The sequence below is a fragment of the Homo sapiens genome, chromosome 10 (assembly GCF_000001405.40).
Source record: "Homo sapiens chromosome 10, GRCh38.p14 Primary Assembly".
NCBI classification, from domain to species: domain Eukaryota; kingdom Metazoa; phylum Chordata; class Mammalia; order Primates; family Hominidae; genus Homo; species Homo sapiens.
Genome location: NC_000010.11, coordinates 131890547 through 131908855, shown reverse-complemented (window position 1 = coordinate 131908855; position 18309 = coordinate 131890547). Strand labels below are relative to the sequence as shown.

At 50.4% G+C, this 18309-nt stretch overlaps 1 protein-coding gene and 1 pseudogene across 5 annotated transcripts in view, besides 4 other annotated features; both read right to left on the bottom strand.

The window, feature by feature from the left end:
- PPP2R2D (protein phosphatase 2 regulatory subunit Bdelta) overlaps positions 1 to 7848 on the bottom strand; it is a 70526-nt gene extending 62678 nt beyond the window's left edge. For 4 of the 5 annotated variants that reach the window (NR_033191.3, XM_006717914.4, NM_001291310.2 and 1 more), the window contains exons 1-2: positions 7701 to 7848; positions 7526 to 7618 (exon numbers count right to left, since the gene is read on the bottom strand). Coding sequence is in view for 2 of the 5 variants with exons in the window: in XM_006717914.4 (XP_006717977.1) it covers positions 7526 to 7618; positions 7701 to 7707 (100 nt within the window). In the remaining 3 variants the exon portion in view is untranslated. Of the gene's footprint in view, positions 1 to 7525; positions 7619 to 7700 lie in introns of those variants that run through there. The other variant, XM_047425478.1, reaches the window with a different exon arrangement.
- Positions 7039 to 7088: a silencer, noted in NCBI's record as "silent region_2948". NCBI's record gives its function as "represses an Ori minimal core promoter by ATAC-STARR-seq in GM12878 lymphoblastoid cells {active_cell/tissue: GM12878}" and the evidence as "EXISTENCE:reporter gene assay evidence [ECO:0000049][PMID:35858748]".
- Positions 7269 to 7668: a silencer, noted in NCBI's record as "silent region_2947". NCBI's record gives its function as "represses an Ori minimal core promoter by ATAC-STARR-seq in GM12878 lymphoblastoid cells {active_cell/tissue: GM12878}" and the evidence as "EXISTENCE:reporter gene assay evidence [ECO:0000049][PMID:35858748]".
- Positions 7739 to 8248: a silencer, noted in NCBI's record as "silent region_2946". NCBI's record gives its function as "represses an Ori minimal core promoter by ATAC-STARR-seq in GM12878 lymphoblastoid cells {active_cell/tissue: GM12878}" and the evidence as "EXISTENCE:reporter gene assay evidence [ECO:0000049][PMID:35858748]".
- Positions 8489 to 8588: an enhancer, noted in NCBI's record as "active region_4220". NCBI's record gives its function as "activates an Ori minimal core promoter by ATAC-STARR-seq in GM12878 lymphoblastoid cells {active_cell/tissue: GM12878}" and the evidence as "EXISTENCE:reporter gene assay evidence [ECO:0000049][PMID:35858748]".
- Positions 13111 to 16990, bottom strand: LOC100134362 (60S ribosomal protein L19-like; annotated as a pseudogene).
- Between the last annotated feature and the right edge of the window lie 1319 nt (positions 16991 to 18309).

The window sequence follows — 18309 nt, the reverse complement described above, 5'->3', positions numbered from 1 at the left end:
ATTACCCTTCATTTTTCTTAAACTGGCTCCCTGAAGTGACAGAGTCAGCTATTTTCCTATGCAAGAGGGTCTCTTAAGACAACAGCCTCTGAACAGTTACCAGTTAACGTGTTTGTTTGTCAGAGCTTTCCATACATTTTCTGGAATCTTCACAGCAACCCTGTAATGGTCACAAGTAATAGTACCCGTTTAACAGATGAGAAAAGAGTAAGTAACTTCCCAAGTTAACACAAAGCCTGAAGAGGGTGAAAAAGGGATGTGTACCAAATTCCACGTGCACAATTCCTCTCCATCACCTGGTAATATCATGACATTCCATATGCTGACTGACATCCAGTGGGAGAGACGAGCCTAATAATACATGTGATAAAATAAGGGAACCACAAGCAGGACACAGCCAATTGCTAAACAACATGGAACACAGTGTGAAAGGGAAATCTGGAGTCTAAGACGACACTGAACGCTGAGGGGAGCTGGAGCAGGGACTCGCCAAGTGGGATTGGAGGTGGATTTAGAAGGATCAGCAGGGCTTAGGGAATGGACAGGAAGCAAAATAAATACTCTAGGCAAAGAAAGAAACAGGAGCAAAGATCAAGGGATGGGAATAATCACTGAATAATAACGTAAACATTAAGAGGCCAGGCCCAGTGGAAGGGATCTGGGTAGATGGACATGAAGCAGGTAAGGAAAAACAAGAAACTGCTATTTTTGTGTTTAAATATAGCTAAAACCAAGCCCCAATACTTTAAAATACAAGAGAATTAACAGTTGTATCTAATACTTGAAAAGCACTTTTCAAGTTGCAACAGCACTGCACATTGTTTGATCTTAACAAAAAGCTTCTGATTTAACTTCTAGATAAGCGAGCTGAAGCTCAGAAAGGGGCCCTCAGAGTTGAAAACAGCAGACACAAACCCAACCTGGAACTTCCCATCAGAACAGCAGACTGCTTAAAATCAGGGAACGTGGAAAATCACCAGGTATGATTCAATACCACCACATATCTTGTAAACTTAACTTCACGATGTAACGATGACCAGGCCAGCCTCCTGAGCGTTAAGATGTGGCTGTACTAAGCATGATGAGTCTGTGAATCTTTTTTTTTTTTTTTTGATATGGAGTCTCGCTCTGCTGCCCAGGCTGGAGGTGCAGTGGCGTGATCTCCGCTCACTGCAAGCTCCGCCTCCTGGGTTCATGCCATTCTCCTGCCTCAGCCTCCCCAGTAGCTGGGACTACAGGTGCCCGCGACCACACCCAGCTGATTTTTTGTATTTTTTTTAGTAGAGACGGGGTTTCACCCTGTTAGCCAGGATGGTCTCGATCTCCTGACCTCGTGATCCGCCCGCCTCGGCCTCCCAAAGTGCTGGGATTACAGGCGTGAACCACTGCGCCCGGCGAGTCTGTGAATCTTAAGGCATACAACTGACTTCCTAAAGGCAGAGGCTTCCTATGAAGCTCTCATAAGTCAAACTGCAAAATATTACTAGACTGTTTGCTTGTTTGATGGCCTTCCCCAGAGGATGCTTTCCTGAAGGTTCTCTTCAATGGCACAGATATAAATATTAAGTAAATGAAAATTCTACAATGGAATATAGAAATCAGACCGGAAATAATTCAAATAAGCAGACACCATGTCCCATTAAGACCAAAAAAAAAATATAAATGAATAAATACCAAATGCCCATTATCTGTACACAGAAGAAATCAATAAATATGACTGACAAGTTTTGCATTCACCAACACCGTATTTCATTGATTCTAAGTACATTTCCCCACATCTTAGTATCTCTGAAATTAGATGTAGATTTTATATATACATATAAAAGACATTATAGGAGATTATATATAAAAGACACACCTAATTTCAAAGATTATATATATACATATATAATTATTATTATTTTTTCTTTTTTCTGAGACAAGGTCTCACTCTATTGCCCAGGCTGGAGTGCAGTGGTGCAATCATAGCTCATTGCAGCCTCAACCTCCCTGGCTCAAGCGATGCCCCCACCTCAGCCTCCTGAGTAGCTGGGACTACAGGTGTGTACTACCATACCTGGCAAACGTCCCGAATTTCTTTCTTTTTTTTTTTTTTTTGGTAGAGACAAGATCTCACTATGTTGCCCAGGCTGGTCTCAAATTGCTGGGCTCAAGGGATCCTGCCATCTTGGCCTCCTGAAGTGCTGAGACTACAGGCGTGAGCCACCGAGCCAGACATTATCTTACATTCAATGAAACAGTAACTTTCTGGTGCTGATGCTACAGTTAACTTAATTTTTGTTACCTTTCTGCGACTTAAAATGTTTCTTTCAAAGTACCAATGTAAACTCCCTTGGAAAGGCTATCCTACCAGATTAACCAGATATCTATGTTACTTACATAACTCCCCAGACTCAAGCTTGACTTAAGCAAACAAACCTTTAGTTTTGTTTAGTCTATCTCTTTAGAAACAGGTTAATGTCTAATTCAAAGCAACAGATCATGGATTAAGAAACTGATTAAAGCAAAATCAACAAATAAAACCCCAATACACTTAAAACTACAAATTCTGAGAAGAAAGGAACCAGCTGTTATCAAGCTATAAAGCTATATAAAACCAGGTTCAATATAAGACCCTCCTCCCCCAACCCCTCCCCACGGTTTCTCCATAGGAGCAATTAGTGTAATATATAAAGGAGCAAGACCCATAGCTTCCCTGCAGGTAAGCAGGTTGCAGTCATGTGGAAAGTGACATCACAGGCAAAGGTGCTGCAGCACTTGCTTGACGTGCAGGTGTTTCACTTACTTACTGTCTCTGTGGTATCTACTCTTCAAATAGTTTGAGAATTGGTTGGAAAGTGATGCTATTCTTGAATCCTTGTTACTAATCTTCTATCATTTTGACACAGACTTCCTTTAAAGGCATTCCATTTTCATTTGCCTTCAAAAGCATTTTCACACGCCTCTTGGTAGTAAGATTTTCACCGAGCTTTAGAAGAACAGCTCCATCCCAAGGCTGGACGGCCGCATGCCACAGTGGGGCTTCATCAGTACTGTGCTGGCTGCAAATGGTCGCTGAAGCAGTACAGCGCTCCACGGCTCTGCGGCCAGTCGGCGTGGCTCCAAACCCTGGCCCTGCCATACACTCGCTTTGTGACCCAGGTTAATTGCTCCCACGCCTCGGATTCTGCATCTGAGACTGGGAAGAACAGTATTTCCTTCCTTCTTCGGTGGTGTGAAGATTCACTGACATAGGAAAAGCACTGCGAGCAATCTCTAGCACAGAATGACCACTCAGCAACTGTTACCTATCATGACCTTCGTGCTGGGTCCTCTACAAGGGCTGGGGTGGGAAGGGGGACAGCCAGCCTTCAAGCTTGAGGAGCTCAGTCTACCAGAGAGAGAAGCAAAGGATGAAATACCATGTGACATTGCAAAACACATCACATGCTGAATGAAGTACGTTCCAGGAGAGGGAGCAGGGGCTGGGTGAAGGTGATTCCATAACATGCAGAAAAAATCTGCACAACAGTTAACAATTTCCAGAAAGGAGCCACCGTTTAGAACCGCAACATCGTGGAATTAGAAGCTAACAAACAACTTTTCTACTTGCTTCCTGCTGGAAGCCCCCTGGTTTTACTATTTTAACTCTTGGTCAACTCAGCATATAAACTCACCTAGTCCCACCTTCCAGCAAAGGGAGGAGATGCAAGTCACCACTGACTGCTGCTTATACACCTGCTCATCAGCAGGACACTTAATAACTTCCTTGTGAGCTCAGCTCTACTCCTACCTGCAGGGGGATGGGAAGTCTGATGACCCAGTGGAATCACAACTCTTAGCAAAATGACCTGACCCATAGCTAAACCCAATTCTTTTAAAAAAAAAAGGGGGGTGGGGTGCGCATCAAATTTTACATAGGCCAGCACTTTCACCATAGGTTGATTCTGATTCCCCAGCCCAAAACTATTAGTTTTAAAAACAAAACAGAAATCAAAACAAAAACCAAAGGCTTTTCTATGTCACTCACTTCATGACCTCCAAAGTCAGGAGTGCCTACTCCTAGCCCTGCACCACTTCCTGTGCACTGGGCATCACCCCACTGAAGTCAGGAGAGGACCCAGGCCTTAATCTCTAAGGCTCCTTCTCCTTACCCATTGCAGAGAGGGCAGAAAGACGGCCAGAGTGCAGGGCTGTAGTAAAGCTCTACAGAGCTGAACTTGGCCCAGAACAAAACCTTCAAGAACAAAATGCCTCACAAGCCACAAATCTAAACAAACAAAATCTGCTATACCTTAAGTTCTACAGCCTGAGCAGCAGTGCACGATAAAAACCCCTGTGAACTGCCCATCTCTCTTTTTTTTTTTGAGACAAAGTCTTGCTCTGTCGCCCAGGCTGGAGTGCAGTGGCACGATCTCGGCTCACTGCAAGCTCTGCCTCCCGGGTTCATGCCATTCTCCTGCCTCAGCCTCCCAAGTAGCTGGGACTGCAGGCGCCCGCCATCACACCCGGCTAATTTTTGTATTTTTAGTAGAGACGGGGTTTCACCGTGTTAGCCAGGATGGTCTCGATCTCCTGACCTTGTGATCTGCCTGCCTCGGCCTCCCAAAGTGCTGGGATTACAAGCGTGAGCCACTGCGCCCGGCCATCTCTCTCCTTTTTTTTTTTTTTTTGAGACGGAGTCTCGCTCTGACGCCCAGGCTGGAGTGCAATGGCACCATCTCGCCTCACTGCAACCTCCACCTCCCAGGTTTAAGCAATCCTCCTGTCTCAGTCTCCTGAGGAGCTGGAATTACAGGCCGGCCCTGCCACGCCTGGCTAATTTTTGTATTTTTAGTAGAGATGGGGTTTCGCCATATTGGCCAGGCTAGTCTCAAACTCCTGACCTCAAGTGATCCACCCGCCTCAGCCTCCCAGAGTGCTGGGGTTACAGGTGTGAGTCACCGTACCCAGCCACCCATCTCTTATCTCTCACCAACATCTCTCCCTCAAGGTTGCGTTTGGGCATGACCAGCTTCTTGATCCTTGCTGCTCAGCAATCCCTGGTGACTAACGACTACACTTCCCTTCATCATCACTGACTCTCTGGTGTTAATACAAAGCAACGGTATCACAACTATGGGACAAATCGATGGTGACTTATAAATGTGTTAATCTGGATGGGTTACTATGGCCAAAGCATACATGGATTAAAATAGACAGCTCTGAATACACAGAATAACCAAAACACATGCAGATAATTACCACAAAGCAATGTTACAAAAGAAACCACGACAACTCGAAATACCAAACTTTTGGATTTACTCAAAATTTAACTTAAAATAGGGATTTAAAACTGCAAAAAGTTCCCATCAGTTTAATTCAGAGAACAAAGTATTTGTCAAGATTTTTTTTTTTTTTTTTTTTTTTTGAGATGGAGCCTTGTTCTATTGTCCAGGCTGGAGGGCAATGGCACGATCTCCACTCACTGCAACCTCCACCACCCGGGTTCAAGTGATTCTCCTGCCTCAGCCTCCCAGGTAGCTGGGATTACATGCATGTGCCACCACGCCCGGCTAACTTCTGTATTTTTAGCAGAGACGGGGTTTCACTGTGTTGGCCAGGCTGGTCTCAAACTCCTGACCTCAAGTGATCTGTCCACCTTGGCCTCCCAAAGTGCTGGAATTATAGGCATGAGCCACAACACCCGGCCCAAGATTTTTTTTAAAGAAAGAATACTATTTTCATATGTGTACAGTCACATTTAAAATATACTACCTTAGTTATACTTAAATTTTAATTCATTCAGCTTATCAATAATTTTTTTTTTTTTAAGTAAAGAAACCAGGCAGGTGCGGTGGCTCACGCCTATAATCTCAGCACCTTGGGAGACTGACGTGGGCAGACCACTTGAGCCCAGGAGTTCAAGACCAGCCTGGGCAACATGGCGAAATCCCCTACAACAATACAAAAATTAGCCTGGTGTGGTGGTGCACGCGTGTGTGTGGTCCTAGCTACTTCAGAGACTGAGGTGGGCGAATCGCTTGAGCCTAGGAGGCAGAGGTTGCAGTGAGCCCAGATCGCACCACTGCACTCCATCCAGCCTGGGCTACAAAGTGAGACCCTGTCTCCAAAAAACAAAATAAAGAGTTAACAGAAATTAAGGCAAGCATTAAGCCCTCTCACTTTCCTACTCCCAAACAAGTTTTGCTTTACTTGCGACAGAAATCACACTTGAGTAAGGCTGAACTGTCACTTGCTTAGCATATGCAAAATCAAACAAAAAAAGTAATGCATTTTAAAGAAATAAAATCAATAAACTTTTTAGATCACATAAAATGCACCTAGTTTTAATCTCAAACCATATATATTACGCATTTCTTAGAGCCCAGTTTCACCTGCTTAATAACCTAGGCCCTGTTTGTCCCAGGGGGCGCAGAATCTCCAGATGTCCTCAGGGGTCATGTGCCAAACCAGACACTGCCAGGGAGAGGTACAGGGTAGGGAAGAGGGAGTAAAAGTTCACGGGGTTGGGGGGGCCGAGATGGAGGGAAGTGAACAGGACGTCTGACAAGGGGCTTTTAGTAACTTGAGGCAGGGAAGGTGTATTTGGTGCAAACACCAATCATTTTTAAGAAAAGGTTAAAGGTTTACAATGTTCAGTAAGATGTATGAACAACAACAAAAAAGTCACTATGACTCTGAATCTGAAATATTAATCAAACTTCTAAGACTCGACCAAGTTCTCCATTCAACGGTGAAAAAGGAAAGCTACATAGCTTTTTAACTTTAAGGTGACAGGTAAGCTTCATGGGAAGCTGGGGTGGGAGGCACTTCCCAGTTCCCTCCCACCACCCTAAAACTTTGTGCCTGGGCCAATTTGAGAGTATGATTTAAGGAAAAGACCAGTGAACTTCAAGTAATACCATGAAGTTCAAGACTAAAATCTGGAATAGAGACCTTAAAATATATCAGTAGAGAAAGTAGCAGTACCTCACAGTAAAATTCAAGGATTTTAGAACCGCAGAAAGCAGACCTTAAGAATCAGGGAGCCGAGGCAACCAGCTCGCTCAAGAGCGCACCGCCGATGAAACGCAGAGCCTGGTGGGGGCCGAGGCCCCGACCCAGCCCTAGGCGCGTTCCCAGCCTCTGGGCCATTGTGCCGCGCTGCCCGAGCGCACGATATGGACTCCGTTCCCGTCCCCGGCTCCGCCGCGGTCTCCTCAGTTCCGCCCCAGGCAGGAGGCAGCCCCGGGCTTCGGTTCCGCCCCGGGCAGGAGGCAGCCCCAGGCGCTGGGTTCGGAGGACCCGGCCGCCCGTGACCTTGGTGACTTACATAAGTCCCGCCGCGGGCCCGACGCCTCCGCCCGTGCCCCGCGGGCCGGGACAGCGGACAGAGGACGGCCGCCCCCCGATCACGGCCCCCAGCTCGGCCCCTGGCCCCTGCCCCGCCCGGCCCCCATCCTCCTGCCTGCCTTCCACGGACGCTTGGGGCCCGGAGGCCGCGCGCGGCCGGGCTGGGAGCTGTCCGCGAGGGTCCCGGGGCGGGGCGCGGCGCGGGGCTCACCTTCGGCCACGTCCTCGTCGATGGCCCCCTTGACCTGCGAGAAGCACCACTGGAAGTCGTTGCCGCCCGCGGGGCAGCCGCCGCCTCCGGCTCCTGCAAACACAACGGGGCGGTCAGGCCGGCCGCGGCCCCCGCCCGCCCCCGTGGTCCCCGCCGGCCCGCGCAGACCCCTCACCTGCCATGGCAGCCGGCGGCGGGACGGGCGGGGACCGCGGCAGACCAGGGAGACGGCCTCCGCGCCGCTGCAGCCGAGCGCTCAGCCCCGGGGCCGCCACCACCGCCGGCGCCGCCGCCGCCGCCGCCGCCGCCGGGGAGGGATTTTTTTCCCTTTTCAAAATGGCGCCCAATGCCCGTCGCCCCGCTCGATGACGTCATCGCCCTCCGCCTCCTCGGACGGGCAGCGGACGGGGCGGGCCGCGGGGGCTGCCGGGGGCGCCCAATGCGCCTGCGCCCGGCGCCGCTCGGCTGTAGGGGGGAAGGGACGCCTGGGCGACTGCGGAGGGAAGCCGGGGTCGCCGGGCGCAGGCCAGCTCCTCGGCCCTCGGCCCTAGGCCTCCCGCAGTGGTCCGGTGTGCACCCGGCGCTCCCCAGAAGACTAGCGCCGCCGGCCGCCCCTACTCTCCGGGGACTCCCGGAGAGCCTAAGCTGCGGCCGGACACGCCTTCAGGGCGCCGCTTGGCCGGACACGCCCCCATCCCGCATCGGCCAATGGAAACGTGGGTTCTCCGTGGAACCGCCAATGGAGGACGCGCTTGGCGGCGGTGGGCGGGCATGTGGGCCGGCCTCACCTGAGCGCGCCGTACCTGAGCGCTGCCTCCCGCCCACTGCCCCCGACGCGGAGTCTCGCTCTGTTCCCCGGGCTGGAGTGCGGGGGCGCGATCTCGACTCCCTAAAAGCCTCGACCTCCTGGGCTCAATCCATCCTACTGCTTCAGCCTCGGAAGTAGCTGCGAGCACAGGCACGCGCCGCCAGGCTCGCTGATTTTTAAATTTTTTGTAGAGACGGGGGTCTATGTTGCTCAGGCTGGTCTCGAACTCCTGGGCTCGAGCCATCTGCCGGCCTCGGTCTCCCAATCCTGTCCACCTCCCTTTCGGAGCGCACCGTTGCTCACCAGATGGCTACCTTAGGGGTTCTTGGAGCTCCCAGTGCAGTCTTAGGGAAACAGGGCCGATCGTTTCATTTGCGGGTGGTTTTCTCTGGCATACTGAGCGATCATGGGTGCTCCTCGACTTACAGTGGGGCTACCCTCCCCGCAAATAAGCCCTTCCTAAGTCAAAAATGCATCTAATACCCAATCTACCCGTCGTAAAGTTGAAAAATCTGAAGTCGAGCTATCATCAGGGGGACTGTCCCTATGGGATTGATGTCCGGAATCAGAACTTCTTTCAGGGTAGCTGCGGTGGGCACTGATGGTATTGCACCACTAAAAGACAGTCGCTGCAAATCAGGAACATTCGTCCACTCCATTAATATTATTTATTGACAGCTCCTGCCACGTGCGGCACACTCCACAGCCCTGGGGGTGAGAGGTTAACAGAGCAGAGAAATCTCAGCCCTGGTAGAGCTTACCTTTCAGTGGGGGAGACAGACAATAAGGAAATAAATACATAATAAGTCGGAGCTGGAGAGAAAAATCAGGGAAGAAGGAAATGTGTATGGGGAGAGTTGGAGTCTTGCACGGGGTGACTGGAGAAGACTCAAGGATAAAGAGCAAACCATGCAGACGTCTAGGAAAGCTTGGCCAGGAAGGGGAGACCACCAAGTGCCAGGACAGGAAGGAGGGCCATGCCTGGCATGGGCAGGAGGCAGCCAGAAGCTGCGTGGGTGCAGAGTGAGTGGAGGGGAGGCCAGGGGTTGGAGTCAAGGCAGGGAGGTAAGTGGAGGAGGATGGACAGTGGGCAGGCCATTTAGGGGACTTGGACTCTGAATGAGATGGGCTCATGAACAGAAGACGATCGTGATGGACTTGGGCTTTTGGATGCTCTGCTGAGAATAGCTTGTGGGGACCCAAAGAGGGGAAGCAGGGAGACCAATCAGGTGGCCAGCTGGGCTGACCAGGCATGGGGATGAGGATAGAGTGGTGAACATGGGGTGGGGTGGTGAGAACCAGTCAGATTTCAGAGAAAAGTGCTTCGACAGCAGAGCCCCTGGGATTTGCTGATGGAAAAGATGCGGTGTGAGAGAAAGCAGGGACTTAGGAATGCCTGCTCTCGGGTGGTCTGAGCACCTGGAAGGATGGAGTTTCTGCAGCAGAAGGCACAGCTGGGTGGGGGCGGTGCAGCCCGACCAGAGGTTCGCTGTCAACACATAGTGCTGTTGCACAGACAGGCTGGGAGCACACAGGGAAGTCAGAGCCAGAGCATCAAGGTGAGAGCATTTAGAGGTCATTTCAAGTCAGGAAACTGGGTGAGGTCACCTCAGGAGGGAGGACAGATGGGGGACAGGACCAAGGACAGAGCCCTGAAGGGGTGAGGACGTGGAGGATGAGTGAGCAGCCTGCGAGGTGGGCTCCTGGAGAACCCATCTCCAGGATCCACTGAAGACAGGAGGGAGTGGCTGCTCTGTGATGCTATGTGATGAGTATACAGGAGTGACCATTTGGTTGTAGGGACTGGGAGGCCATTACTGACTTGGACGGAGCGGTGGCTATGGAATGGACTCAGATCACAAGTTTGCAGAGGGCTCTGGGGACAGTGGCAGGAGAGGAACTAGAGGCAGTGAATACCTACTTCTCTGTTGAGGAGAAGAAGAGCAGAAAAATGGGGCTGTAATCTTGTTTTTAAAATGTAGATTTAGCCTATCTGCCCAGGAAGACACTTGAAAACCTGAATTAATGACCAGATCTCTTTTATTTGTTAACTTAAAAACCTGACAATTTATAAATTTAGAAAAAGAGGAACTTTATTTCTTATAAATGGTTACAGCCAGCAAGGTGGCCATCCCCCAGGCCAAGATGGGAGATGGCTCTTCGTAGGAGGAGGAGTTGGGGCAGGAGCTCTATGCTGAACGGGTTGGCTAAACATACATAGACAACAGGCTTTGGGAGGAGCTATGAATACTCAGGAAGGGGCTCCTGACACGTGTATTATGTAACATAGGACCCAATCTCACTCTGTCGGGGAGACTAAACATTTGAATATATTACGACTGTAATCCCAGCACTTTGGGAGGCCAAGTCTGGCAGGTTACCTGAGGTCAGGAGTTCGAGATCAGCCTGGCTAACATGGCGAAACCCCCTGTCTACTAAAAATACAAAAATTAGCTGGGCGTGGTGGCGCCCGTATGTCTGTAGTCCTAGCTACTTGGGAGGCTGAGACAGGAGAATCCCTCCAACCTGGGAAGCAGAGGTTGCAGTGAGCCGAGATCGTGCCGTTACACTCCAGCCTGGGCGACAGAGCGAGACTCCGTCTCTAAATAAATAAATAAATAAATAAATAAGTAAATTAGGACTAGGCCCTGTACCTCAAGAGGTCTTTTCAGGACAGGAAGGCATGCAGATGTGCAACCTCTGTAAACCGGCCAGAACCAGTCCAAGGTCGGTGGTTTCTTATCAGGAGACAGTTACAGTCTTCTGTCCAATGAAAGCTGTAGTTACGGCTGCTGGAGCAGGGCTGGGGGTCACTTAGTGGCTGGTGGAGCTGCAGTTGCTTAATGTTGCTCCTATCAAGGCCAGTGCTTATTTAGCTGCTGGAGGGAAGGAAAACCCAACAGCAGTGGGAACGACGTTTTCTCTGTAAGTGTGCGGTGCGTGGCTTCACCCTCCCCCCGCACGGCCTTAGGCCCTGTTTATGATTTGGCATCTTACTGCCACAGAGTCCGTTCTGTCAGTCTTATGGTCTCTAGTTTAACGTTAACGCTGGTCTGTTGTGTCCAAACCACAAAAGGGCGGGGGTATCAGGAGGCCTGTCTGACCTCCCATCCCCCATTATAGCCTCAGTGTTGAGGTTTTCCTGGGGCCCCCCCTGGCCACAGGGGTGTTCGTTCAGCCAGTGGGGGATGTAGGATTTTATTCTTAGTTCCTATGTAACTGCTTTAATGTGTGTTAAATATGTCTTTTGAAGTGATGACAAGATAATTAGTTTTTGTTTAGAATGTATTTTCTGGTTCATTAGCTCCCATTAAATTAAACTAAAAACAAGATATAGCCACAAAAGTAACATATTCCTGAGACTGGGGGGCTGCCTTCCCTGCGTCCCACTGTGCATCAGCTGACCAGCAAGAGATTTTTAACTATTTTTTAAAAAGAGATTTTTAACTATTCTTCTTATGATGCTAAAAACTTAAAATATTTGGCTAAACCACAATGACTTTTGCGCCAACCTAATAGCTCAATGAATTTCTCTGTTTGGATTCTAATTGGTGTTTACAAGTTTCTGAGTATTGACAGCAATTTTATTTTTTAAAATTGTTTTTCAGATCTCACAGCTGAATTGAAAATGCCTGGTGTGTATTAGAATCTAGCCTATTGTAATCATAGAAGGCAGTACTGTTCAGTAACTAAAAGGCATGAGCTACTACTGATACAAACAGCAGTCCCAAATGAGTCCCCGAAATATTACGAAAATGAAAGGAGCCAGACACGGAGGCGTGCAAGCTGCATGCGCCCCTTTATTTTATCATACTTAGTCTCATGTGTCAATGTAGCGAGGGTATAGTATGTAGTTATTTCATCAGAACTAAGCCAAGTATTGCCACGAGGGTGTTTCGTGGATGTGGTTAACACCCACAGGCAGTTGACTTTGAGAAAAGGAGATTACCCTTGATAATATGAGTGAGCCTCATCCAATCAATCAAAGGCCTTCAGAACAAATACTGAGGTTTCTTGGAGAACAAATTCTGCCTCCAGGCTGCTGTATCAGCCCTTGCCTGAGCTAGCCTGCCGGCCTGCCCTGCTCACCCTGTGCACCCTCTGTTTTTGAACTTGTCAGCCTCCACAATTGTGTGAGTGAGTTCCTGAAAATAAAGCTCATTCCATACACGGTTTCTCTGAAGAATCCTGAAGTTCTAGAACAGGTGAGACTGCTCTACAGTGATTTTAAAAATGGCACAGGGGCTGGGCGTGGTGGCTCACGCCTGTAATCCCAGCACTTTGGGAGGCCGAGGTGGGCAGATCACAAGGTCAGGAGTTTGAGACCAGCCTGACCAACATGGTGAAACCCCATCTCTACTAAAAACACAAAAATTAGCCAGGTGTGGTGGCGCACGCCTGTAATCCCAGCTACTCAGGAGGCTGAGGCAGGAGAATTGCTTTAACCTGGGAGGCGGAGGTTGCAGTGAGCCGAGATCGCGCCACTGCACTCCAGCCTGGTGACAGAGCAAGACTCCATCTCAAAAAAAACGGCATGGGGCACGAGTGTGGGGATTGACTGGAGAGGGTGGGGGATGGACTGGAGAGAGTGGGAAAGAACTCCCTGGGTTGATGGAAGTGTTCTGCATCCTGATGGCCGCAGCTGTTAATGCAGCACGAATGGTTGTCAAGACTCATTGAAAAAGACACTTAAAGTGGACCCATTTTATTGTATGTGAATGATACCTCAATAAAACAGATTTTTTTAAAGGATTGTTTTATTTTAATGGCTGATCTATGTAATCACGGAGGCCAGTATGTACGGACAACGGGGGAGCTTTTATTTTTTGGTATCTTCCTCCTTGGACAAAGTCTTGAAGATCTCCTCCTTCTTGACTTGGAGGCGCTCTTCACGGCGCTTGCGTGCTTCCTTGGTCTTAGACCTGCGAGCCTCAGCCTAGTCAGCCAGGAGCTTCTTGCAGGCCTTGTCTGCCTTCAGCCTGTGGCTGTGTTCCATGAGAATCCGCTTGTTCGTGAACATATTCCCCTTCACCTTCAGGTACAGGCTGTGATACATACGGCGATCAGGCTTCTTCGATTCACGGTATCTTCTGAGCAGCCAGCACGGAATCCTCATTCTCCTCATCCACGTGACCTCCTCTGGCATTCGGGCATTGGCTGTACCCTTTTGCTTACCTATGCCTATGTGCCTGCCCTTCCGGCGGGCCAAGGTGCTTTTCCGGCATCGAGCTGGAATGGACAGTCACTGGCTTGGGGATGATCAGCCCATCTTTGATCAGCTTCCAGATCTGCTGACGGGAGTTGGCATTAGCGAGTTCATTGGTCTCCTTGGGGTCCAGCCAGACCTTCTTCTTCCCACAGCGGAGGACACTAGCAGCGAGCCTCTTCTGAAGCCTGAGCGTGCTCATGGCTGCGGCCACAGCAGCAAAAGGAAAGAGCTCAAATGAATTATTTTAAAGTCTAACTTACCATAAATTTTCTTCAAGTCTATGAAGGACTTTATATCTTAAGAGTCTGCAAATCACACTTCCCCCAAATACCTTTATTTTAAAATATGTTTTATTTAATTTTCTTTTTTTAAATTATTATTATTATTTTACAGAGTCTCGCTCTGTTGCCAGGCTGGAGTGCAATGGCGTGATCTCAGCTCACTGCAACCTCCGACTCCTTGCTTTAAGCAATTCTCCTGCCTCAGCCTCCAGAGTAGCTGGGAACTACAGATGTGCACCACCACGCTCAGCTGATTTTTGTATTTTTAGTAGAGATAGGGTTTCACCATGTTGGCCAGGATGGTCTCTATCTCCTGACCTCGTGATCCACCCTTCTCAGCCTCCCAAAGTGCTGGGATTACAGGCGTGAGCCACCGGCCCGGCCTTTAATTTTTATTTTTTTTGAGACGAAGTCTCGCTCCGTCGCCCAGGCTGGAGTGCAGTGGCGCGATCTTGGCTCACTGCAACCTCTGCCTCTCAGGTTCAAGGGATTCTTCTGCCTCAGCCTCCCAAGCAGCTGGGATTACAGGTGTGTGTCACCACGTCCAGGTAATTTTTGTATTTTCATTAGAGACAGGGTTTTACCATGTTGGCCAGGCTGGTCTCAAACTCCTGATCTCAAGTGATCCATCTACCTCGGCCTCCCAAAGTGCTGGGATTACAGGCGTGAGCCACCGCACCTAGCCTAAAATAATTTTGATTTATTTAGATTTCAACTACTAAATATTATTTGAAAATACCAAATGTGGATTATTTTCAATTTCAGACTTAGTAACAATCTCAGTGTTATCATAGATGTAGCCTATTGGTAGGATGTGCAATCTTTCCATGGAAAACAAACCACATTTAGAAGCTTGCTAATAGGAGGCGGAGGCACCCTGTCTGCCCGGCTTGTGGGCTGGCTGGAAGAGCAATGGCAGGAGGACCTGCACTGAGACTCTGTGATTAGAGGGGCACGTGCTGGTTTGTGTCTCTGACTTTTGACACATGGCTGCCTCGTACTGCTGGAGCCCGGCAAGGCGTTAGATGTCATCCCATCATTCTTCTTTCCTCCTGCCAGAAAAGATCCGATCCTCATATTTTTGTCACATGCTGAAGGAAGGGAAGAAAGATGGGAAGAAATGAAGGAACAGAAAAAAGAAAGGGAGGTAGGAAGAGAGGGATGGACGGAAGGATGTGACTAGCCCTGTGTTGTGAATTGAGAAGGAAAACCCCACAGTCACCTGCTCCTGTCTCCTGGGCCTTTCTTCTCCGGCCTGGGGGCATTTGCCTGTCCCCTTTCTTCCTCTGCACTCCTTCCTTGTTTCAAACAAAAAAAAAATCTCTACACGCTGTATTGAATGTGGTGGAGAGAACATCGGTGTTCCAGGAACAAGAGAGATGTGTGCATGTGTGTGGTCTGCAGAATAATGACCCTCCAAATGTCCATGCCCCAATCCCCAGAGCCAACTTGTGGCTATGTTACGTTGCATGGCTAAAGGGACTTTGCAGATGGCCTTAAAGTTCCAGGATTTAACCTCGGCAGATTATCCTGGATCATCCTTGCGGGCCTAATCTAATCGTGTGAGCATTTCAAAGCGAGAACTTTCTCCAGCTGCAGTCAGAGATTCAGCAGAAAGGAGAGTCAGAGCGCATCAGAGCACGAGAGGGACCTGGCCGGCGGGTGGTGGAGGGGTGCGTGAAGGGCATGAGCAGGAACCTGGGCCGCCTCGGGGAGCCAAGACTAGCCCCTGACTGAGAGCCGGCATGAAGATGGGAATCTGACCAAACGAACAGCATTCAGACCACAGCCTGGAAGAGTCTGGGAGGAGATTCAGTCCGAGAGCCTCCAGAAAGGGGCGTGGGCCTGCTGTCACCTTGATTTCAGGCTCCCACCACCCTAAGCAGAAGACCAGTCAGGCAAAACTGCCCGGCCTTCTGACCTGAGGAACTGTGAGAGAATAAATAGGTGTTGTAAGCCGTTAAGATTGCGGTAATGTGTTACAGCAGGGAAAGAAAGCAAGTACGTGTACATGCAGAAATACGCGGGCTTTCATAGACTCACTCATCTTGCTGTCCCCTGCTGTCCTTGAGCCTCGGTGTCTTGTTCAGTCATTGATTCACGTTGACATGCTGACACCATAGCCGTGTATGAGCAGTCCACTACTAATTGCCCCTGCTTTTATTCAGCAGGGGCCACCTTGTGAGCTGCTGGCAGGTGCAGGTATGAAGAGGGGTCGACTGTGCTCTTAGCGGCACCCTGGACACAGCCCAAGTGTCCAGAATGGCACTGAGCACTTCACCTGCTCCTCATTCAGCGCTTACAAAGCTCTACGAGCTGAGTATTGTCATCCTGCTTTTTCAGATGATGAAACTGGGGCATAGAGGGATTCGATAATTTGCTTAAGGCTTCACAATCACCAAGAATCGAAGTCCAGTTTAAGGTAAGTTCTAACCTTGAGGCTGGGGCTTGTGACCTCGAGTCTGGATGTTATTAAACACGGCGCAGTCCTGGGGCTTTTATGCTTCCGACTCCACCGTCCATGGCGTGGGGAGGCTGCAGGGGAGCCTCAGCACTGGCTCTGCCTGGCAAGAAGGACACCCTCATGCAGTGACCTGGAAACTGAACCCTCTGGTCACTGCCTCCCGGGATCGTCGTGCGTGGGGACAAGAGGATGGTGGTGGGGCAGGATTTTCCACGCAGCTGCTGTGGCTGATTGCTTCGCCGGTGCTGCGGGGAACACACAGTGGATCCTGTGCCGTGGCTGGAGGGGCCGCTCCTGACGCCCCATCCTTGACCTTTGCAGATTGGCCAGGGGAGCACGTCATGTGAACTCCTTAGCCCTTCCTCCCAATAGCTCTCTCTTTCAAGGATTTCCTGTCTTCTTCTCCACATGCGTGGCTGCTGTAGGCTCTGCTCCCCTCGGATTTCTCCCAGTTGCCCTTGGAGCAGCCTCCCGGCAGTTTCTACCGAGGCCCTCTCTCTGGTTCCCAGCTTCCCTCCAAGCCCAGCCACCAGGAAGGAATCCCACCTTCCTGGAGTTTGGTGTTCTTGTCTTCTATGCAGAAGGTTAAGCCCAGAGTGCCTGGCGGCATGGCCCTTGGACCTCACCTTGCAATGGCAGAGGCAGAGGCATGCATTCCTGAGGTCCTTTCCCAGATAGCTGGAGGGGAGTAGAATTGTGGGGAACCGAACCCTGTCCCCTTTTCTTTCCCCGGACTCCTCCCATTGGGTGGAGCAGCTCCTTTTCTTCTGGGCGTGGCCCTTCGCACGGAACCAGGGGACACACTCTCAAAGCCTTCACTGTTCAGTTTAAGATAACGAGCCGAAGTACAGGTGTAAGACAGAAAAATGTGGAAGGCTCCTTGCCCTGTGTGCCAGCTCTCTGTCCCTGAGTCTCTGGGTTGGATGTCTGAGCAGATGTCTGAGAGGACAGCTAGAGGGGGGCCTCGGAGGAGGAGCCAGTCTGCCACAAGCGGCCCCCCCCCCGCCGGGCTGGGTACACTGGCACCTGTGGTCGGCTGGAGAACGGCCCCCCAAGGACGTCCACGTCCCAATCCCTAGGACCTGTGACAGCAGCCTCTGGAGCACAGGGACTGTGCTGATGTGATTGAGTGAAGGATCCTGAGACGGAGAGGATCCTGGGAGACGCGGTGGCCAGGGGGAGTCACAGAGTGGGCAGGAGGGCTGGAGAGGGAGGAGAGGTGACTCAAGCAGAGGCTGGCGGGCTGGCCACCGCGAGGAGGCAGGCGGCCTCACGGTGGGAGAGGCAAGGGCTGGCGACTCCCCTGGATCCTCCAGAGGGCACCAGCCCTGATTTCAGCCCTGTGAGGCTGCTTTGAGATTTCTGACCTGCAGAATCTTACGAGGACATTTGTGCTGTTTTAAGCCACTAAATTTTGGTCACTAGGTAGAGCAGCCACAGAGAATGAATATGCGTCCCCAGGGAAGTTGGAGAATGTGGGGGCTGGGGGCCAAGCAGCCACTTTAGGAGCCTTGGAGCAGTGGCCTCAGCAGAGGCCCCGGGCCCTCCTCAGGAAGGGGACGCAGCTGCAGGGCACCAGGTTGCCCCAGAGTGTCCCCGAAGGGCGTGGAGAAGCTCCTGCTCCCCTATGTGGGTGAGGACTGAACTCAGCCTGCCTGTGTGTGTCTGTGTCCATATGTGTCCCTGTTGGGGCGTGCGCCTCTGTGAGTGTATCTGTCTCCGTGTGTGTCTATCTCTGTGAGTGTGTCTCTGTGTGTCTACTGTGTGTGTCTCTGTTTGTGTGTGTGTCTGTATGTCTCTGTGTCTGTGTGTGTGTGTCTCTGTATATCTCTGTGTGTGTATCTCTGTGTGTCTGTCTCTGCGTCTCTGTCTCTGTGTGTCTCTGTGTGTCCATCTCTGTGTATATCCCTGTGCGTGTGTCTCTGTGTGTGTCTGTCTGTGTGTCTGTGTCTGTGTGTGTGTCTCTGTGTGTCTGTGTCTCTGTGTGTGTGTCTCTGTGTGTCTGTCTGTGTGTGTGTCTGT